This window comes from Homo sapiens, chromosome 3, assembly GCF_000001405.40.
Source record: "Homo sapiens chromosome 3, GRCh38.p14 Primary Assembly".
Classification (NCBI taxonomy): Eukaryota; Metazoa; Chordata; class Mammalia; order Primates; family Hominidae; genus Homo; species Homo sapiens.
Window position 1 is genome coordinate 70,347,788 of NC_000003.12, and position 15,674 is coordinate 70,363,461.

Consider the following 15,674-nt stretch of genomic DNA (forward strand, 5'->3'; position numbering starts at 1 on the left):
ATCCCAGCACTTTGGGAGGCCAAAATGGGTGGATCACTTGAGGCCAGGAAATTGAGACCAGCTTGGCCAACATGGCAAAGCCCCATCTCTACCCAAAATACAAAAATTAGCCAGGCGTGGTGGTATATGCCTATAATCCCAGCTACTTGGGAGACTGAGGCATGAGAATTGCTTGAACCCAGGAGGCGGAGGTTACAGTGAGACCAGATCGCGCCACTACACTCCAGCCTGGGTGACAGAGCAAGACTCTGTCTTGAAAGGGAAAAAGAAAAGAACAATGTTAAAAAGTGGTAAGTGCTAAAGGTATAAATGATTGGAACATACTGAAGGGGACTGAGTATGCTATAAATAGGGTAGGGGAGAGAAGGGAGGTTGTGATTTTAAACAGAATGTCAGAATAGGCCTCATTGATAGGATAACACTTGCAGAAAGGCTTGAATAAGAAATGTGAGATTTGATCATGCCAGTGCATCGGTGAAGATGGTCATGGACAGAGGGAATAACCAGGGCAAAGGTTCTGTATTAGCCCATTCAGGCTGCTATAGCAAACTACACAGACTTAGCTTAAACAAGTTTTCACAGTTGCAGAGGCTGGATGCCTAAGGTCTGGGTGCCAGCATGTTTGGGTTCTTGGTAAGGGCCTGCTCTCAGGTTTGCAGATGGCTGTCTTCACACCGCATCCTTACATGGCAGAGAGAGAGAGAGAGAGCTCTAGACCCTCCATCCCCTTATAAGAGCCCTAATCCAATCCTAGGGGCTCCACCCGAAACCTAATCACCTCCCAAAGGCTCACTCTCCAAATACTATCACATTGGAGACTAGGTTTCAACATATGAATTTTAGGGGGACACAAACATTTAGTCTATAGTAGGTCTCAGGTTCCAATTCCAGGGGTATTGGAACAGCATAGAAGCCAGCATGCCTAGAGCAGAGAGTGTGATAACTAAGAGGTGAGAAGTGAGAAGTAACGGGGACACAGGTCACAGAGGACTTTGCAGGCTGTTAAAAGAACTGTGTTTTTTTTCCCAAGGAACATGGGAGCTCTGCGAGGGTTTTGATCAGATGAATGATGTGATTCACTTTCAACACTAGATCTTACGGTCTGAGCTATATGAAGAGAGACAATCAATCTCTCTCCCTTATTTTTTCAGGCCCTGTTACCCAGGGAGCAGGTCAAGCATCCACCCATCACCAAACATTTTTTCCCAAGATGCTGCGGCTTGGTGTGTGATCCTGGTTGCTGGAGCACATTTGCTTCTTCACAGGTCATGCACACAAGAAATGGGGGAGTGGAATGGAAGAACAGGCTGGCCACAGTGGTTCATGCCTGTAATCCCAGCACTTTGGGAGGCCGAGGTGGGAGGATCACCCAAGGTCGGGATTTGAGACCAGCCTGGCCAACATGGTGAAACCCCATCTCTACTAAAAATACAAAAATTAGCTGGGCACGGTGGCAGGTGCCTGTAATCCCAGCTACTCGGGAGGCTGGGGCAGGAAAATTGCTTGAACGCAGGAGGCAGAGGTTGCAGTGAGCCGAAATCATGCCACTGCACTCCAGCCTAGGCAACAGAGTGAAACTCGGTCTTAAAAAAAAAATAAAATAATGGGAGGTCAGCTTTCAGAAAGTGGGGAGCATTTGCCAGAGCATGTAAGGCGGCCAGCAACCCATTATTTGTTCACCTCATTACAGTTAGAATCTAATAGGATAAAATGTGTTCATATATATTTTCTCACCTGTATTATACTTAACTATAATGAGGGGTATTGATAAAGTCTCAGGGGTTGTTGAGAGGAGGAAAAATAACTTTCTATGTGGTCATTAAATGCACTTGAGCTTGAAAGACAGTTTGGATTTGGCTATAGAGAGATGAAGGTCGGGTTGGGAAAAGAGGTCATTTAATGTACAAGGAAACAGTATGAGCAAGAAGTCCCAAATATTTCTTCCCCCTGGCAGGGGTAGGTACAGTACTGTAGACAGTATATTATGCATAAACAGATTATGCATGAGTTTACTCAGGGGACTGCTAGACCACTCAACAATAATGGGTAATTGCCTTAGCAAACTCATCCTTCTATCACTTATGCACCCCAACAAACACTAAAAGAAAAAGGTATTAAGGGCAAATGTCAATGTGAAGTATGTTTTTTTTTGAACATGATTGTTGCACTGAGCTCTTGCACAGCACTCTTCTATTAGAAAGTCTATAGATACATTGATTAAAGAAGAAGGAAAATTTCCACTTAAACTTCTTCCTTTTGGATACTTAACTTGAACATGAGTGCTGGTGACACACTATGATCCAAATTCTAAAAAAGACACCAGAGGCACTTAAACAAAATTATCTATTTTAAGTTAAAAACAAATTCTGTGGGTGACTAAAATCTCCAGAATGCAAAAAGTGTTCCTCAAAGTTATTAATTGAAAATAATCTGTTTACTTGCTCTAACATTTTTTGATCTCCCAAATATTCTATACCAAAGCTACGTTTTCTGGCTAAAGAATAACCTTTTTTTGCATGTAGGTACATTGAAATTCCAAATAACAATTATCTTCTATTTTGAATAAAATATGTAAAATGATTTACTTTAGAATTTATTGCTAAAATTATACAGAAATTCCCCCTTTTTAAAGTATAGTATTGGTATCTAAAATCTGAGTTTGTTTCTTGATATGTATTTAATAAATTATACTGGAAACATCATGAACCCTTTATGATACAATTAGATAAGATTTTCAATGAAAGATAATTCCATATATAATATTTTTCATTACTTCTTCACCCATATTCAAAATTTCAAAACTAATTGTAAATATAAAACTATTTTATGTATGTGTCTTACTAGCTATTTCATTCATTCATTCAAATTCTAAGTTCCTTCCTTATTAAACTTATGTTCTATAGGAAGAAGATGAAATGAATATAAAGCATGCAAATAAATTAGTAAGGTAATTTCAAATATTAAGACATGCTATGAAGAAAATAATTTAGGATAATGGAATCAGAAATACCATACTGTGGACGGCCTAATTTAGACTGGGAAGTCAGTAACAACATTTCTAAGGAGGTGACATTGAGTTGAGACTTAAATGATGAGCAAAAGCCAATCTTGCAAAAATTTAGGTAAAAAGCACTTCAGACAAGGGGAATAGTCAAGATAACTCCTAAATATGAAATGAGCTTAATGTGTTATATGGTAGGAAAGAAGCCTTGAGCAGTGGTTCTATAGTACTCATAATATGTACCTGAAATATATCCTATTTCAGATATTATGAGTAGTTTGTGAAACCCCTTTTTATTAGGCCACCTTATAAAATCATATCATTGAGACAGATTTGAATTTCACAGATAAAGAAATATTCCCTACATAAAAGAGAAAAGCATAGGAAGATTGGCCAGGTGTAGTTCATGTTAACCATTACCCGATTCAAAAACAAAAGGAAGGATTCTAAGAAAAAGTAAGTTGATACTTAAGGGATAAGGAAAACCTCCAAATTTTATGAATAAATACCTGGATAGAGCCTGCTTTCTTTAATAAGTATTGGTGGGGAGAAGTGTGGGATTTTTGCAAGGTTCTATAGTAAAAAAGATAAAGAACCTGGTATTTGGGGCAGAGAAGAAAAATATGTTTCCAAAATATGTATTAAAATCAATAGAATAGTTCTATTTCCAGGAAGATGGAGATGTAATTTTCCCTATTCCTCTTGCTAAGTACAGCTAAACCCTCTAAATATTATATATTTAAAATGCCCAAAAATAGGGAAAGAAGAGGACAGACAGGCTAGAAATTATGGGAGTTGAGAAACAACATAGTAGTGAATTCCCTGGGATTTGTTTTTACCTCATATATCCCACACTAGCAGCTGAAGAAATTGGTCACTCAGAAATGCTAATGAGCACAGATAAAACAAACAAACAAACAACAACAAAATCCCAAAAGCCTCCTCTCTCTAACCAAATAACCAAGAACGAGGCACCCTAGCAAGACAAAAACTTTTAGGCAATAATCACTCTTCTCTAGTCAAACAGCATGGACAACTGTGACTCTACTCCACCATAACAGCAAAGGCCCCTTGGGGACTCTAGACCTCCTCACTGATTAGGTTCGTATTTAGTCACCCCAACTGAATTGTAGGACAATATAAATGATTTCATCTGAACAACAGAAAAAAAAGAGACTTTTAAAAAGTAACAAGCCCTGAGGATTTTGGGTATAATGAAAAGGATATAATATTCATGTCTTTGGAGTCCTGATAGGAGAGAAGAAAGATAGCAGGGCTGAAAAAGTAGTCAAAGAAATAATGAACCAACTTCTCAATCTGGCAAAAAAAAAAAAAAAATGATGAACCTATACGTTCAAGAAGCTAAGCAAACCTTCAAAAAGTTAAACACAAATAACTTCATCCCAAGAGACCTCATAGCCAAGTTTTAGTGTTCTGAAAACTTAGGAGAAAGAAAAAAATCTTGAAAGGAGTGAAAGAGAAATGACACCTTACTTTAGTGGCAGGTAATAATTAAAAGGAGAGCAGATTTCTCATCAGAGAGACCATGGAAGCTAGCAGGAAATGACACAGCATTTTTCAATACTGAAAGAAAAGAACTAGCAACCCAGAATCCTATATCCAGCAATATATCCTATAGGAATGAAGGAAAAATCATGACATCATCAGATGAAGGAAAATAAGAGAATTTGTCACCAGAACACTAATCCTAAAATGCTTAAAATAAGTTCTCTAAACAGAAAGAAAACAATGAAAATTCCAACCTTGGAATGTTAGGAAGAAATGAAAAGCATGCTAAGCAACAGTATGGGTAAATCCAATAGATTTTCTTTCTCTTCTTAAGTTTTAAAAATTATCCTTGAGAGTTGAGCAAAAATCTCAACACTGTCTGATGTGATCTTAAATGCATATAGAATAAATATTTCAATAATGTATAAACACAATTTTGTAGAAATAGACAAGAATATTTTAATTATTTTCCAAAGGAAAAAAAGGAGGATAACTAAGACAATTTTGAAAAGAATGAGTTTACCCAATTTCAAGACCTATTTTATAGCTATAGAAATCAAAACTGTGTGGTATTGGTTGAGGAATACATAGATTAATGAAACAGAATAGAAACCAAAAATAGATCCACAAAAATATACGTAACTGACTTTTGACAAAGATAAATAAACAATTCAATGGAACAAAAAGATAAATTTTTTCAGCAAATGATACTAGAGCAATTGGACATCCATAAGTTAAGAAACAAACAAAAGAACTACTAAGTTTCACTTTATATTTAAAATTTATCTTATAACCTATCAATGGACTTAAATGTAGAATACCCATTTAAAACTGGGCAAAAAATCCTTAGATTTACCATCAAAATCATGATTTATAAAAGGAAAAATTGATACATTGGATCTCATCTGTGTAAAACAAAAACTGTTCTCTGTAAAATAATAAAACTTTTCTCTATAAAAGAAAAAACTTTTCTCATAAAAGAATAAAAATTCAAGCTACTTACTGAGAGAGAATGTTTGCAAATCACTTATCTGAGAAAGGACTAGCAACTAGAATATATAAAGAACTCAGAAAACTGCATTAAATAAACAAACAATTCAGTAGAAAATGGGTAAAAGAAATAAAGAAGATGTTTCACTGAGAAGGATGTACAGATGGCAAATTATCACAAGAAAAGAGATGCATTATTCATTAGTGAAATACCAATTAAAACCACAATGAAATATTACTATACTACATGTCAGAATGGCTAAAATAAAAAAAATAGTGACAACACTAAATGCTGTAGAAGTTCTGGAAAACCAGATCAGCCATATGTTGCTGATGAGAATGTAAAATAGTAGAGCCACTCTGAAAAACAGTTTGGTAGTTTCCTTAAAAACAAAATATGCAATTATCATACAACTCTGGAATTCTTGGGCATTTATCCCAGAGAAATAAAAACTTATGTTCACACAAAAACCTGTGCATAAATGTTTATAGCAGCTTCATTCATAATAACCCCAAAACTGAAGACAACTCAGATGTCCTTCAATGGGTGAATGGTTAAACAAACTGTGGTACATCTATTCCCTGGAATACAACTCAACAATAAAACGTAACAATCTTAATCAATTTCCAGGGATATATGCTAAGGGATAAAAGCCAATTTGAAAGGTTATCTACTATGTGACTCCATGGATATGATATTCTGAAAATGACAAAATTATAGAAATGGAGAACAGATTATGGTTGCCAGGGATTAGGGAGAGAGTGGGAGTCAGGGGTAAGGAAGTGCAGCTGTAAAAAGACCAAGTGGTGGCTTGCTATGATGATTAAAGTGTTCTGCATCATTAATGTATCAATGTAAATATCCTGGTTGTGATACTGTGTTACAGTTTTGCAAGATGTTATCACCAGAGGAAGCTGCATTAAAAGTACCCTTCTCTATGGTATGTCTTACAACTGCAGATGAATCTACGGTTCCCTCAAAACAAAAAGGTTAGTTAAAAAATTAACAGAAGTATAATTTAGCAAGTATTTGTTCTATACTCAAACTTTAGGAAAACCAGCTATTTTAGAAAAAAAGATGAAAGATGAGATCAAATGAAGAGTAAAATGAATACTGACTGAAGCAATTCACGAAGACTGGAAATAGTTTAAAGATAATAAAATGTGACTATAGAATTAGAATCATCAGAAGAAGCAATAAGTAACAGAATCAACCCTTCATTCAGTAAAACCAGGAATGAGGAGGAGCATGACGAAAATGGTGGTGGTGCTGAGGCTGCACCTTTCAGACTTCTGGCTGCAGGGAGTGTAACTGTGTCACTGACCCAGGGCTTCAGCTGCTGAGCTGGGAACCCAGTTCTGCATTATGTGAGGCTATGCTTCCCACATGCTGCCTCTAGCTGGACAGTGCCTGAGCATGGCAGGAAGGCCCAGACTCCTAAATTTGGTTTGAGGACTCCACAACAGCCTTGTCAAACTTCTTTAGACTGCATACATTCTCGGATGCTTTCACCCAGCGTTCCTTCCCTCTGTCCTTCACTGGGCATCAGACATGCATTGTGGTCTGATTGCCTTTCCAGCTTTATCTAGGTCCTTCTCTGTTTTCTCTCACCTGGGTATTTTTCTTAATAAAATCCTTGGACTTTTAATCACATCTTGGTTTCTGCTTCTTGGAAGACTAAACTAACTCAGATTTACCACGACTCAGCAATAGTACACTAAAGATAGAGATTAAAAACAAGGGATAAATTGAAATTTAATAGTTGGAAATAAGCTACCTACCCCTGGCCAGTGCAAAGAACACCAGTAACCAGGTGCCTAACTCTCGGGTAGGAGACTTCAGGTCTCTTCTGAATTCATAGAACAGCTGCTAAGAGAAGATCCCCACATACTGACGCTGGAGATCTGGTTGAGAATACAGCATCCCATGCAACCAATCAGCAAACTCTACTAAGTTTCCAATCAATTTTCTCATCACACATTCTTACATACAAATAAATCAAGGACCACCAGCTGTTCAGGAAATCTTCCAACAAGGAAGAGTGATATTGAAATGAATACATGCAAAGAGCCAACTGAAACATGCACAGATAAAGTAGGCATAAGAAAAAAAAAACCAATTAGAATCCTCATTCATACCTGACATTACTTCCATGAAACAAAAACAGGGTGTTATTTTTAAAAATAAATAACCAGAGATCAAAAGAGAGCTCTGGAGAATCTTTTAAAATGCTTGCAAAGAAATCAGTTTTAAAATTGGAAGATGAAGTCATAGATACTTTCCAGAAAGTGGAACCAAAAATGGAAAGAAAGTGAAAACAGGAGAGGGGAAAAAAATCTTTGGAGTGAGCTAAAAGTATCTTTAAAAAAGAGAAGAAAGAAAATAGACGGCAAGAAATTATTAAATAAGTAATGCAAGCGTAACTTTTCAGAACCTATAGACATACTCTACAGATTAAAAGTATCCACTGAACACTCAGCATAAGGAGTAGGAGAAGTGGAGAGGTAAACGGCACACTCAGGCACATTGCTGTGAAATTCCAAACGAAGGAACTATTTCACTTGTTCCTTCAACAATCCTTTGAGCATGTAATCCAGGTTTTCTTATCACATTTTATTTATGATTCTTCACATATTCTAAAAAAAAGCTCATCAGAAAACAACCTAGCAAACTAGGAGAGACAAAAAGACATACATTTGTCATAATAATTAAAATGAAGTTTAAATCAATATACATCAATAGGATTAGTTCTGAAATGATTTGTTCCTTAAGTTTATATGAATCTGAATTCCTAACACTTGATTACTGATCTAACGGTAATGACTCAGTGACATTCATAAAAGCAGGTATTAATTTTTATTCAGTTTCTGAAAAAGTGAAATTGTTCCCCTTCATTAACTTTTTTACAAAATCATTGGCTTTTTATAGATTATAAAATAGTATACATTCATTTCAGAAAACTTAGAAATTATCACACGAAATAATATAAAAGTTACCTATTACCCCAAATCCAGCAATGACAACCATTAAGATTTTGGCATATGTTTTTCTAGTTTTCTTTCTGTGCCTACAAAACAAAACCATCAAATTATATAATTTAACCAACTTTAATCAACTTAGGTATACTAACAAAAATATTTCCAAAATGTGCTATACCCTAACCTGCCTAAATAAATAAATAATCGAATATATTTTAAAATTTTCTTGATAACCCTGAGTTCTGGTTACAAGTCCCACCAGTCATTTAATGACATTCTCAAGATCCACTGAGAGATGTCAGCTCCTTTCTCTGGTCTTCCATGGTTCCTCACTATTCTTACTTTTAAAATACTTGTCCTTTTGTTTTTTAAACAAAATATTTGTATTAAAAACTCTTAAACTTTTAAAATACCTATCCTTTTTGTTTTTTTGTAGGTTGTGTTTTCATGAATGAGCAGAAGTTAAATTGATGTTTCTTTCTGCCTTAAGAATACCAATCCCAGGCTGTCTCTCTTTCTAATTTGCTGTGGGCTGGGAAACCACATAGCTACCTTTATTGATAATCATGACACCACCCAGAGCAGTACTTACAGATGGCACTTTTTTTGAGCACTGACTTTATCCCAGGCAATTACTGTGATAAGTACTTTTAATCTTCATAATAACTGAGAAGGCAACTCAGGATTAGCAAATATTAAGTAATTTGCCAAAATGCATACAGTAAGTCACCTACTTTTGAAGTAGAATTAGTAGAGCCTGTAATCTAGAGAAGAAAAATTATATTCTGGGGGTTTTAACCAACTGGTGGGATGGTGGTGCTATTACAAACTTGGAACGTGCACCCCCAGTGGTAGGTGAGATGATTTTAGGATGCATTCTAATGGATTTTATGTACAAGGACATGGACATGAAAATAAACAACATTGAACTGCATAGCGAGAATCTCTGTTTAATTCAGCTTCCGTTTTCCTGATTATGTAAAGGAAAAAGTCTCAATGAGTGCTAATGTGTTTTTAATATTTTATTAAACTCAGGAAAGCATCTTTTTGGCAAAAAGAGAGCAGGCCTCAGATACAAAGCTTTTGGTAAGCAGTGGTTTCTAGACAGAATTTACTAACATAGTGCTTTTATCATTTATATTTAGGGTTAATGCCTATTTGTAAAATATGTTAATGATTTTCCCTTTATGAATGTGATGTTTTTAAATAAAATTTTTTATTTTAAAAGTTGAGTGGATTTTCAAAAAGTGAAATAATTACATGTTAAAATGAGAGCACATGGACACAGAGTGGGGAACAACACACACCAGGGCCTGCTGGGGGCTGGGAGGCTAGGGGAGGAAACTTAGAAGATGGGTCAATGGGTGTAGCAAACCACCATGGCACATGTATACTTATGGAACAAAACTGCACATTCTGCACATGTATCCCAGAGCTTAAAATAAAATTTTAAAAAAAGAAACATTTAAGAATGAAAATAATAATAATAACGTGTTCACAGGGCAAAAAAAGCATGAAAGTGACACATAAGTGATTCATATGACAAAATGTGTCAAATTTATATCCCTTTTATTTTAAAAGTAAAGAGTATTTTCTATTAATGGGATATGATTTTTCCTGCCTAGAAAACTGAGTATAAAGGATGATGAAGTGCTTTAAACAAAATGGACAACTTCTCCATCTTGACTCTTGTTGTGTTTTGTTGTACTACTTCTCTTAAGATTAAGTACCAGAAGGTCTGGTGTATCTGTGGTGTACTTGAGTCAGTTCGTACAGTTCCCAAGAAATGACTGTTAAATTTGCAGTGGTTTTGTGAGCCAATTGTTAAACATAGCCATTATCAAAAAATAAAGTATATTGACTTATAATACATAAATTACCTTAAAAAACAAAAGTAATACGTATTTGAAACTTACTGTTTCCTAATTATTTTACTACATTTTTGCCATTATCTTTACTTTTGTGACTATGTCCACTCTATCTGTAGGTTGGGAACATGACCTAATGGTGTGCTACCATGCAGCTCTTTCCAGCTCCATGTTCAGTGACTTCATATTGGTAAGTTGAAATCTACTATGGCATGAGTATTTACACTACAGAAATTGGCAAAAGCTATGATTTAGTGCTTTTTCCTCCTGAAAAGCTGGCCATTTAATATTTACCAGCATATGGCACGGTATAAGAGTTAAAGGAATGGAACTTCCATATCTCTGGCCAGGTGATCCCTAGTGCAATGCTTCTGGTTGTTGGCTCATGGAAGGCCTCTTTGAAAAGAAACAGATGGCAAGTAATTGAGAGCTCATTGGCCAGAAGTGGCATATAGGAGTTGTTAGTCATGTTAGAAATGAGCATTCTGTGGATTGGAAGCTCCACCTGTCATCTCCTAAATAGGGGTAGAAAATATATCTTCTGTTTTTTTTTCTTGTGAAAACTGAAGCCAACTTACTTTTGTTTATTGCATTGCTTTGTAGTTAAAATGTATTTATTTCAATAATTTCCTGGCAAGAAGTATTATTCTTCAAAAGTTTGATTACTTTCTTCAATGATGTGAACTTATTCTTAAAATCCATATAATGTAAAAGAAGCCAAAGTAGAGAGTGATGAAAATGTCAGTTGTCGTAACAGAATTTATGGCTTTGGTTTTAATACTAGGAGTGTTTTGCAAATATCTTGTCTCTTATCTTGTGCACACAGTGGCTCTTATTCAGCTGAGAGAGAGGTTAAGTGAGAAATGAGTTGGCTCGCCAAGGATAGATTTGTTCCACCCACCCCCAGCCCCCAACACACATATACACTCACACACACATACTCTGATGTTAATTTGATTTGAAAAAATATCAGAAAACATCATCATCAATTTCTCCTCTTGCAAAAATGATTATTCTTGCTTGACTGCCCTCTGCTGGAATTCCTGAAATACACACTTTGCCTCTACTTACAGGGACAAGTTGTAGGTGGTATGTAACTTAATGTGAGCAATCTTTTCAAGACGTAGTATGTGAAGAAGCCCAAGTACTCAAGAATAGAAATAAAACTGAGTTAAGCATTAAATGCTGTGGTCAAGTGTTGATTTAATTAACCATGAAAAATAGCCAGGTTTTGAATGGATCAAAGAAAACAATTATACCTAATGGGTGAACTGAAAACAATTGACTATTACTGAAAAAGAAGAATGCTTTAATTAAACTAAAAGTTATATCTAATGTTAAATGAGGTGGTTAGAAAAGCTCCACAAAAAAGCTGCTTAACTGCTGAGTATAATATGAGAGATCAGAAAGAGCGCTTAAATGTTTGTAATAAAAAATGCCACCTTATTAAAATTGTATCACTATTATTTTAAACTATCGCGAGCCTTTTCTCTGTTCTGTAGCTAAGCCGTCACACTTAAGACTATTCATTTACTTGTTTAAAATATTTAGATTTTTCATTTATTGCTGATAACAATTTATTGCTTATTGCTGATACAGAGATAGTGCTTTTTTCTACTTAATTAGATTATTTTTTGTTTTATTTAGAGAGAATTATTTTAGAGATAATAATGATTGCAATATCTCAGACCTTTATAATGTACTAGGTTAGCATATACTTTTCTCCATACTTGTAAGGCTCTCTGGAGTTAGAAGAATGCAGAGCAGTTGTCAAGCAGGTTGAGTTGGTGGCGAATTGGTGCTGTGAGACTCACACTTGAAGAGTATCACGGTGGAATATTTTTTACTATAAAGATCAAATCCTTCATCTGAGGAATTTGAGCTAGTAAATGGAACAGACTTCCGTCGGCGCATTTGCTGATCAAAGTCTAACCCTTTATTTTATTCACCATCTCCTTTTTATGTCATTGTCTATGTAAGAAATGAACAAGGGGATTAGAGAAGAAGGGAGGGAGGGGGAAGATAAAGAAAAGCCAAAGATTTAATAGAAAGGAGAAGAGCAAAAGATCTCCCGCCACCATTTTGTTTCATTCTTATGCCTCATATGGATTAAAACATGTAAAATTAAACTAGTAAAGTGCCAAGTTTTCCTAATTCAAGACACGGATTCTGCATCATTGAACGTTACAACTTAAGTATACAATAAGGACGGGACCTTCTTAGAAACAATGTTAAGTGGTTATGGACATTAATTCTTTTGCAGTAAAAGCTGATAACTATACAAGTAAGTCACTTTTCCTATTGTAAAAATGACTGTTATATGTTTTAAACTGAGGCACCAGGGGAAAGTAACGAGATTATAGAAACTTCCTTACTTCACCAGACTAAACGCACTCTATTCCAGCACCATCTCCCAGACCAGCAAACCTACAGCTATCATATTTCTTTCCCATACTGATTTGAAAGGAAAATCTGAAGGCAGACTAGGATGGTAGACATAGAATTTGATTTAACATTGTGAGTGTCATAAGTTGAATGCTTAATCATTGAATTTTTGAATGAGATATAACAATTGAACACTTCTCAGAGTAAGTTATGATAAAACATCATAATATAAATGGAAAAAAATTCATATTTTGGAAAAGTTTGTATGTGCTAAGCTTTTTGGAATTATGCATTTATATTTCAGAGTGAGAATATTAAAATATTATTTAGTCTAATATAATTCTAAATGAAGAAGCCCTATTTTATTAAGGGAGAAATATTAGCAGAGCATACATGTAATGAATAGCTATCATGTTTTGCATTATGAACTATCCCGTCACTGTGCTAATTATTTTACCAGCATTCTACCATTTAATTTTTTAAAACTCTATATGAGGTAGGTACTTAACCATCCCTGTATTACAGATAAGAAAACTCAGCCTCAGAGGCCCAAGGTCAGAGAGACACGAAGTGCTAAGATGGAAACTGTAATCCTGGGTTTTCTGACTTTAAGGGCAAAACCCTTAAAGACGTATTGCATCAGTGATGTCATCATTTTCTCTTTGAAAACCCCTGTAGTCTCCTTGTGAGTCATCATCCTGGTTGTAGACAAGGCATAAGCAGAACTCTGATCTCTTTAAGTACTTGGTAAATGGGAGTTCTTGGGTTCTTTTAATACATTGGCTAACTGAATGCAGTCACATCCGACATTTCTAGATTACCAATTTTCAAAGAATTATAAGAAATTAGACATACTACTGAACCACTATGGAAAGGAATTTTTATCCTCTTTGGATAAATTTCTGTTGTCTCTGGGCCGTCATCTTTGTTCATGTTTCCAGAAACCTATTCTGGGGAAATGATCTGACAGACAGCCTGCTCCCAGAGCAACAAGCCCCTTCCCCACTCTCATCTCGCTGCAGCATCTGCATTGGGCATGAGCCCGGATCCATATTTACGAGACATATGTAGACACTTTTCCCTTTCTTGGCAAATGCATAAATAGAATCCTAATGTCTACATGTAGGTACTATATAAATACAAAGTTGTGCATACTCTGTGGATGTCATGCATCATTTATCCATGTATTTTTAGCGTCACCAACACATTTACATATGCTGTCACGTTTCAAACTGCACCTCAATATAGTGCCTTTTTCAACATGAACTCGGCTGCAGGCAACATCATTCTTTTAACATTTTCACCGCAAGTGAAGATCAAAGAGCAAGAACATAAATCCAAAAATAGGAGACAAATTTAAAATAGGTAACACTTTTCTGAGATGCTCTGAGGATACTACAGGATTACCTAGAGCAGAGGACTGAATCTTTTGCTATATAAATAGATCCATGTAATTATTTTAATGTACCTATTATGCTTGGATTTCCCGAGATGAATGTTTACACCTTGGCTGTTGTCTACAGGGGATAAAGATATGCAAACCATCATTTACAATTCTGTGTTAAATGCCTGTAAAGTGTGGTAGAAAAAAGGGAAGGATTCTTTAAATATACTTGAAGAAGTCAAAGTCTTTACTTGGGGAAATAACATTTGGATTGACTCTCGGATGATAAGTGGTGGTTTAGATTTTCTTTTGTATCAAACATTTAAAAAGTTAGAAATAAGTTGACCTAACAGATCAAGTCCAAGATTAAACATTAGAAATTAATTGATCTAATAGGTAAAGTCAAAGATGTTTGAATTTCTCAACAGGGATCAGTCTTTGGGAAAACTAGAAGTAGTAGATAATTTGCCTTTCTTTCCCTTGTGGAGCCCAGAACACGTATGTCTTTGACCTTATGTTTCTGGTGTTCTGCATGTATAGAAAGTCTGTTTAGTAGGTTTATGGTAGAACCATACCAATAGTTTTTAAAGCCTTTTCTCTTGAGAAGCAGAACAATTTATTAAATGAAACATTTCATGGAATACTAAGTATGAAACAGATAAAGGCAGAGACTGAGTCTGGTAGAAGTGAGGAATAGAAAAAAAAAGACCTACAAAGTACTTTTTGACAATCCCTGGACTTGGTAAAAAAGTGTGTATGTGTGTATGTATGTATACACATGTGTATCTTTTTTTTACATCCCTGAATTGCTTCTTACCTACATATTCTGTATAAATAACTGTTACTAATACAAGAAGCTTACTCTGATCTGTGAAATTTTGGTAACCCAGGAAAGATCTGCTTTTTTTTTTTTTTTTTCTCCAGTGGCTGCTTCAGTAACAAGTGTTATGTATGGGTTTCAACAGTGACTCTCAGAGTATAGAAAACATGTTAGATGGAGTTTATCAGGCTCATGTCCAGTAATATTGACAGCATGGGGTCTGCGATAGAGCCCAAGTATCTATCTCTATGGTTGACATTGCACTCCAAGTAATTCTGATGCAAGGGTCTATAAGAGGCATGGACTAACAGATAGACCATAGTAAAGACAAAGGGGAATGAAAAAATAAAATAATAGATTGAAAGGTAAAGAAGAATAGAAAACAGGGAAATGAAAGCATATGGTAATTGCAGAAAGCCAACAAAACTTGCCTAGTGGCAGAGAAGGAATATACCTCAAAATAACAAAGGCCATATACAGCAAACCCACAGCTAACATCATACTGAATGGGCAAAAATTGAAAGCCTTTCCTTTAAGAACTGGAACAAGACAAGGATGCCCACTTTCACCACTCTTATTCAACATAGTCTGGAAATCCTAGCCAGAGAATGAGGAAAGAGAAAGAAAGAAGAGGCATCCAAATGGAAGAAGAGAAAGTAAATTGGTCCCCTTCGCTGACAACATAATCTTATACCTAGAAAAACCTAAAGACTCACACACACAAAAAAAACCCTCTTA

General features: G+C 35.5%; 1 long non-coding RNA gene across 3 annotated transcripts in view; it reads left to right on the forward strand.

The window, feature by feature from the left end:
- Window positions 1-15,674, forward strand: part of SAMMSON (survival associated mitochondrial melanoma specific oncogenic non-coding RNA) — a 435,002-nt gene that overhangs the window by 348,200 nt on the left and 71,128 nt on the right. For 2 of the 3 annotated variants that reach the window (NR_186031.1, NR_186032.1), the window contains one exon: window positions 10,467-10,537. This is a non-coding gene — a long non-coding RNA (survival associated mitochondrial melanoma specific oncogenic non-coding RNA). Of the gene's footprint in view, window positions 1-6,387; window positions 6,491-10,466; window positions 10,538-15,674 lie in introns of all 3 variants that reach the window. The other variant, NR_186030.1, reaches the window with a different exon arrangement.